Source organism: Homo sapiens, chromosome 11 (assembly GCF_000001405.40).
Source record: "Homo sapiens chromosome 11, GRCh38.p14 Primary Assembly".
NCBI classification, from domain to species: domain Eukaryota; kingdom Metazoa; phylum Chordata; class Mammalia; order Primates; family Hominidae; genus Homo; species Homo sapiens.
The window spans coordinates 93,810,544-93,818,231 of record NC_000011.10 but is presented as its reverse complement, the minus strand read 5'-3'; the positions used below and the strand labels follow the sequence as shown (position 1 = coordinate 93,818,231).

Here is a 7,688-nt window from a genome sequence, read left to right as displayed (position 1 = left end):
GCCCTGGTCCTTTGTGTGTGTGTCTGCTCCTGCCAAGAAATCAGAGGCTCTGGGTGCTGTGTCCTGTCAGGCTGAGCATAAACAAAACCCTTAATCACAGTCAGGTCTGGCACATATTTTAAGTGACAACGCAACTAATTACACTGGTTCTAACAGTAAACATTATTTAGCAATTCAGAAAAACTACACCTTATCAGCACCACCATTCTCCCCCAATTGTAGCCAGAAGACCAATTTGAAATTTATGCTTTCAGAATATTAACTGTAATTCAATAGCATTCTTCCTGCTTCTGGAATGGGCCAAAAGTAGGATGTGATAATTGTACCACTTGTTCAGCAGTGGATAAGATACCCTACAGAACACACATGCTTTGTCAACAGAATGTCCTTTCAGAGGTTATGATCTTAGAACCCCAAAAGGTATATACTGTACTTTCTCATTTCATGGTGTTCCGTGTATGCAAGGAGAGCTCATGTCCTCTGAAGGCCACATAAGATGGTAAATACCTGAGAGCACTTCATGCATACTCTGATTTGAAGCAATACCTCACAAAGGTGAGAAGCTAAGGCAGTGAGAGAGGTTATCAGGATATCTTGCCCCAGGCAAGAATGCAGAGACAAACCCTACAATTCTGAAGAGCTGGGTAAGTGTTAACAAGGGATTGAGAAGAGATGGCAGAACAGAATGCTGGAGATGTAACCAGGAACAAGGAGCCAAATATGACAGGGTGAATCCCCAGGGACGTGATTCACGTGCTGCCTCCTTGACAACACTGGGGAGGATACTGGGGGAAGTGGAAACCATCTCACCGGCATCAGCTTTTACATATCCAGCATAGGTTTCTTCTGCCCAGTTTCCAGGGAAGCATCAGACACATCCATAGTTTACTAAAAGCAGAGCAAATCCTTGTGATCACTGTTAGCACATCTATCCCCAACTCAATATCCACTAATGGTGTGAGTTGCCAGAGCTTGCATCTCTCTGCACCCCTGAATCCACCCAACCTGGCTGTCAGCTTTTCCAATTCTTGAGAACATTTCCACTGCCCTTTAAAAATTAAGTGGGTATTTTTGGTTTGGCTTAATTACAGAGGTGATAAATCCTTCTTTAAAATTCAGATAGCACTAAAGTCTATATATATTAAAGTATCTTTGGCTAGAGTTAATTAACAAAAACTAAATAAAGTAAAAGATCTCTCTCCTTCCCTCAATCCAGAGGAAACAATAGTCGAATTTGGTGTGTATCCTTCTAGACTTGCTTATGCATATATGAACATATCTGTGTATATATATGCCAAATATACATATTTATCCTATTTTCTTTCTAGTCAAATGGGATTCTATCATATATATTACCCTACAACTCACCAGTCTTTCCTTAATGTGTCGGGAATTATTTCATGTCTACCTATTCCAAAACTTCATTCTTCTTGCCTGCACAATGCAGTCTATAGTATGAATACACTATTTTTTTTTTTTTTTTTAAAGAATTTTGCTCTTGTCACTCAGGCTGGAGTGCAGTGGTGCCATCTCAGCTCACTGCAACCTCCGCCTCCCAGGTTCAAGCGATTCTCCTACCTCAGCCTCCCAAGTAGCTGGGATTACAGGTGTGCACCACCATGCCTGGCTAATTTTTGTATTTTAGTAAAGACAGAGTTTCACCATGTTGGTCAGGCCAGTCTCGAACTCCTGACCTCAGGTTATCGGCCTACCTCAGCCTCCCAAAGTGCTGGGATTATGGGCATGAGCCACTGCGCCGGCTGGGTTTTTTTTTTTGAATACACTGTAATTGTTCACTGAAAAATTACTTTTTATTTCAAATGATATATACAAAAATCATCTTAGGCAAACTTTCTATGTATCAGGCTAGTTCCTTCAACCAAGATGGTTTCCTCCTGTTAAGTAATGCATTCAACTCTACCTCCTGTGAATCTCTTAGTCTTTTAGGGAATTCCATGTTCCACGATTTTGGTGGGTTTTACATAAAATTTATCAGAGATTGAGTATTGGTGGAAGAAAGGGTATTGATAATGTAAAATAAATCTGAAGTTTTAGTGTTAGATTTGGTTTTATAAAGTACACATTATCAAACCAAACTGGGGTCTGCTCATCTGGCACAGCAAAGCCAAGCACTGACGTTGGGACTGCAGCAAGAGGAAGTGAGGCATTTATTGTAGGGCACCAAGCAAGAACTCCAACTCCTCAATGGCTTACAGGTAAAGGTTTTAAAGGTGGGGAGGCAAGCCTGGGTACAATGGTTCACACCTGTAATCCTAGCACTTTGGGAGGCCAAGGTGAGAGTATCCCTTGAGCTGGTTTGAGATGAGTCTGGCCAACATAGTGAGACCCTGACTCTATAAAACATTTTTAAAAATCAGACAGATGTGTTGGTGTATACTTGTAGTCCCAGCTACTCAAGAGGCTGAGGCAGGAGGATTACTTGAACCCAGGAGGTTGAGGATGCAATGAGCAGCTGATTGCACTACTGCACTCTAGCTTGGGTAACAGAGCAAGACCCTGTCTCAAAAAACAAAAACAAGAAAACCCCAAAAAACCCACAAAGGTGGAGAGGCAGAGGTTACAGGCAAAGTCATAAATCAATACACGGAGGCTATATATTGGTTTGATGTAAAAGGTGGGACATCTTGAAGTAGGGGCCAACAGGTCATAGGTGGATTCAAAGATTTTCTGATTTGCAATTGGCTAAGGAGAAGCTTTGTCTAAAATTTGGGTCAACAGAAAAGAATGTTAGCTCCAGCTCACAGGCATGACCTCCTCCAGGCCCCTCGGGAAAAAATTCAGAACAAAGAACGGCAGCCCAAGTTGTCCTTGCTTATCTGAGGTCTACATGCCAGCAAATCCACTTGGTGGGGATCTGAGATTCTGAAAACAACTCAGGGACATATTTTAAGATGTTATCTTTAGTTTCTATAGGGAACCAAGCATCTGGACTCTTAACTTCCTTGGCAATTGTTTTAAACTACACTTACCTTCTTGCTTATCAAGTTGCTTATTTACGTCTCAGCACTACCCTGGAAATTCCCTCAAAGGAATTCAAGATTTTCCTTTATTTTCAGGCTCAGGGCGCCCACAGGCCTTTAAGAAGGGGTCCCGGCTCCATCTCACACACATAGGTAGGTTAAATTCCTTTGATGTTACAGGCTAGTGCTTGCCCAGGTAGTTCTGTCTGTACAAATATTTTTCCCTTGGGTACCTCATGTTCTGAATGGATTTTTTTCCAACTAAACAAAGTGAACTTACTAAATAATGTAGTTGCCCCTGTTTTTATTCATCAGCAATACCTAAGGAGGCCAGGCATGGTGGCTCATACCTGTAATCCCAGCATTTAAGGGCCAATTACAATTCCTGATCAACATGAGATAATCAGGTTATCCCTTTGATTTGATGGTGTTCCAGCAAAGAAATCTGATGAAAAACACTCAATATCTTCACCATATATAAAACATCATACAAATATGAATACAGGACATTCTGAAATGCTTTCTCCTAATAAATACAGCTGGTGTCTCAACCATTTTTTCTAATTGGCTTGACTCTTAGAAGCACACTTGCTTAATGCTTTATATTTATGTAGTACTTTAGAATTTAACATTTATTACCAACGTTACTGAAACTTCTCAATCACCACTGAGGTTAGTAGAGGAGGCACCTCTATCTTCATTTATATATAAGGAAACAAGTTCACAGAGAATCCTTGCCAAGTTCATACAGCAAGCCAGTAGCAGAGCCAAGATTCAAACACAGCTCCTTGCCAACCTGTTAATACTTGTTGAGGGGCTAATTGGTTTTCTTCAAACTGTCTCCCAAGTTTCCATAGCACATCCTTCAAACTCCAGGAAATTCAGGTTAAAACATTAAACTAGAAAATGTAAATAAATACAAGGCATAAGAATTGCTACCACAGCAACTAAGCTACCATTTTCCCACACATTTGCTTTAGTTTCTACAATTCTTTAGGTCGGTACTGGCTACTCACTACAGCGACGTACCAAACAGGGAAAGTAAGACATGAAGAACGTAAAGTCTTCAGTTATCCCACTCTACTCAGATGGGGTTTAAAAGAACAGACGGTAGTATCTGCACATGTATTCTCAGCCATTCTACTCAAGGTGTGGTCCTGGTCCATGATTTGTTACTGATTCATGACAAGCAGAGAAATAAAAAATAAAGCATTCAGAAATGTTTATATTTGGGGGGGCTGGGCACTGTGGCTTATGCCTGTAATCCTAGCACTTTGGGAGGCCGAGGTGGGCGGATCAATTGAGGCCAGGAGTTCAAGACCAGCCTGGCCAAGATGGCAAAACCCTCTTATCAAAATTACAAAAATTAGACGGTCGTGGTGGCACACACCTGTAATCCCAGTTACTCGGGAGGCTGAGGCATGAGAGTCATTTGAACCCAGGAGGCAGAGGTTGCAGTGAGCCAAAACAGTGCTGCTGCACTCCAGCCTGGGGAACAGAGTGAGACTCTGTCTATAAATTCTAGTATTTGATGCAATTTAATCAAGTTATAATCAAATAAATGGGGCTTTTATTTTGTATCTTTTCAAAATTTCATTTTAGGAATTCATTTTTATTAGTTTACCAAAGTATCAATCTGCAATGGGAGAAGTTTATATAAACAAAAACTGGTCATTCAGCAAAAGTCTCAGACTCACTCTTCTAGCCTGAGCCTTCAAAATCACATAAAAGACTCCTTATGTGAGTGGAATTGTGCAGATTAGCCTATTGACCAAGGCAAATTTTGCAGGCAACAATAATTTTTGAAGCACTCAAGATTTTTAAATAACTGCAAATTCATACCAATTATTTTAATTTCCATGGATAGAAAGATGCAAGATCTTGATCAGAAGGGGAAAAAAGCACAAAGTTGTTCTATCGTGGCCCACAAGCTCCATTTTTCTTTAATGAAAACACGGTGGAGAAATACAAAGGACTTTTATTACTGCACAGTCATCTTACAAATTGTTAAAGCAGGATGTCTGTTTTAAAAATTGAAAGCCTTACTTATAAGGAGAGCTTGCCTATATGATACTACTTTCAGTGTTACCAAAAGGCTTATGAGCCTAAATCTATCCTCATATTAATGGGCACACTTTAGGCACTTTTTCCAAGAAGTGCAAACCTGTTCCTTGGAAAAGATAACCCACTAATCCATTAGTTTTTTCGCTTTGAAAAAGCAGAGAGCTGATGGAAAGGCCTTAATTGGAGAAAGCAATCCAGGGCTGCTGGGTGGAGGCTGGAGAATCCCAGGTGGAAGGCTGGGCATGAGCCATACACTAGGTGTCTCAACTGGTGAGGTCAATCAAGTGGGAGAACAGACCAAAAAAACTTGAGGACGCCCTAAAGAGATAATCTGCCTCCTATTGCCTTCAGCTGTCCTTTCTGAGGATGTTCTTAAATTACCTATGTAGGTTAGACCCAGGAAAGCTTAAAGGAGACAACTGGAGGAAGAGGTTATCAATAATTTAGAGTAGGCTGGGCATGGTGGCTCACGCCTGTAATCCTAGCACTTTGGGAGGCAGAGGCAGGTAGATCACTTGAGCCGAGTTCGAAACCAGCCTGGGCAACATGGAAAAACCCTGTCTTTATAAAAAATACAAAAATTAGCCAGGCGTGGTTGTGCATGCCTGTGGTCCCAGCTACTCGGAAGGCTGAGACAGAAGGATCACCTAAGCCTGGGAGGTCAAGACTGCAGTGAACCATGATCACACCACTGCACTCCAGACTGGGCTACAGAGTGAGATACCATCTCAAAAAAAAAAAGTTTAGAAAGTATTTGGGGGGAAAAAAAGGTATTTGGAGATTTTTTTAAACCACATACTTTATTTGATGTCAACATCAAAGAAGGAATATTTTAAAAAGCACATAGAAACCCTTAAGTTAGTAATATTTTAAACTGCATGAAAAACATATTATTTTACATCTTGTCATACTGTATATACAACTGTACATAAACTTCTGCATTTCAAAGCACTTGTCATTTATAAAGTGAAAAGTTTGAAAGTGCTAAATAAACATTTCCTAATTATTATTTTTAAAAACAGCACTCTTTTGGAAGTTATCTCTTCTTTGTGCTTATAGTTGATCTGCAAACATTTCAAGTCAAAGTTTCTGGAAACTTCTTTAGGAAACATCTGGAAAAAATCATAGTAGACAAGGGCTAAGTGCAGACATAAGCAGCTCCATTTTATAAACAAAATTTCGACCTTCCATTTTATTCCACTGAACTTCTTTGAATGGCCCACGAAGATGACTCCATTTGTTATCTTGTAAAACATCACTTTTTGGAAGGTCTTTACATTGGTTACGAGGAAACTGAACCATAATCTTGCTGCCACTTTCAGGTCCATTACGAACTGTGGAGAAAAACCAAAATATCAATACACTCTAGTTTACCAAACTAGAAATAACAAGGATAAATCCCACAACTCCATTCTACTGTGAATACAAAAACTTTGTCTACCAACTTAAATATTCTTGTAAAAAAGTGCTTTTTCAGTTTCAACATGCAAGAGAAAAACTCTAACTTCTATATAAGAGGATGGTATAAATATTCATGAATTATTATTTGTACCACAAAGATTAAGCAAGGTGAGTTTTGACCTAGGAATGTCAAATGTCCTCTATAATTTCAGGAAATCATCTTTTTGTTTGTTTCCACATGCAGCACTGAAAAACACAAAGCTTTTTTTGGGAGGCGGTTAAAGACAAGGTCTCTCTATGTTGCCAGGGCTGGTCTCAAACTCCTGGGCTCAAGCAATCCTCCCACCTCAGCCTCCCAAAGTGCTGGGATTACAGGCGTGAGCCACCACGCCTAGTACACTCACCTATTTTTTTCAATACATTCATTTGATAAGGCAATCATTCAATGAATTGTTAATACATGCCTAATATGTAAAGAAACCTCAACCACTTAAAATCAGGACTGAAAGGGATGAAGGAAAGATTATTCTGAATTAAGAATTTCAGGTTTTAATGAGGTTTTAACTATTATTTGGGAAAGAGGAAAAGGGTATTTTGAAATTCCTAGCAATCAAGATCCAGCAATGACCAAGCTTGCAGATTCACAAGCTGTGATCCTGTGAGGAAATATTTCTAACTACCCACTCTTTCAAATACAGTCATGAGCTGCGTAACATTTCAGTCAACTGCTTTTGTTGTGTTACAACTGCCTATAGTATTCAGTACAGTAACATGCTGTACAGGTTTGTAGCCTAGGAGCAACAGGCTATGCCATGAAGCCTAGATGTGCATGTAGTAGGCTGTACCATCTAGGGCTGTGTAAGTGCACTCTATTATCATACGATGAAATCCTCTTAACAACACATTTCTCAGAACCTGTCCCTGTCATTATGCAACACATGACTGTATTTTTAAAGTAGTCAGAGCAGATATCAGAAACAAAGATCACACTAAAACCATAAGCGCTTCAAATGTAAATTTAAGCTATGTAATACTCATACAAGTGCCTATTAAAGTGCCCACTCGTAGAAGGTGCTTAATAAAATACTTCTCCTCGGCCGGGTGCGGTGGCTCACGCCTGTAATCCCAGCGCTTTGGGAGGCCGAGGCAGGCGGATCATCTGAGGTTAGCCGAGGCAGGCAGATCATCTGAGGTTAGGAGTTTGAGACCAGCCTGGCCAACATGGCAAAACCCCGTCTCTAC

At 40.2% G+C, this 7,688-nt stretch overlaps 1 protein-coding gene across 1 annotated transcript in view; it reads right to left on the bottom strand.

Moving 5' to 3' along the window:
- Positions 3,269–7,688, bottom strand: part of MED17 (mediator complex subunit 17) — a 30,682-nt gene continuing 26,262 nt past the window's right edge. Inside the window, exon 12 of the mRNA NM_004268.5 lies at positions 3,269–6,379. Coding sequence (NP_004259.3) covers positions 6,168–6,379 — 212 coding nt within the window. The 3' untranslated portion in view covers positions 3,269–6,167. The remainder of the gene's footprint in view (positions 6,380–7,688) is intronic.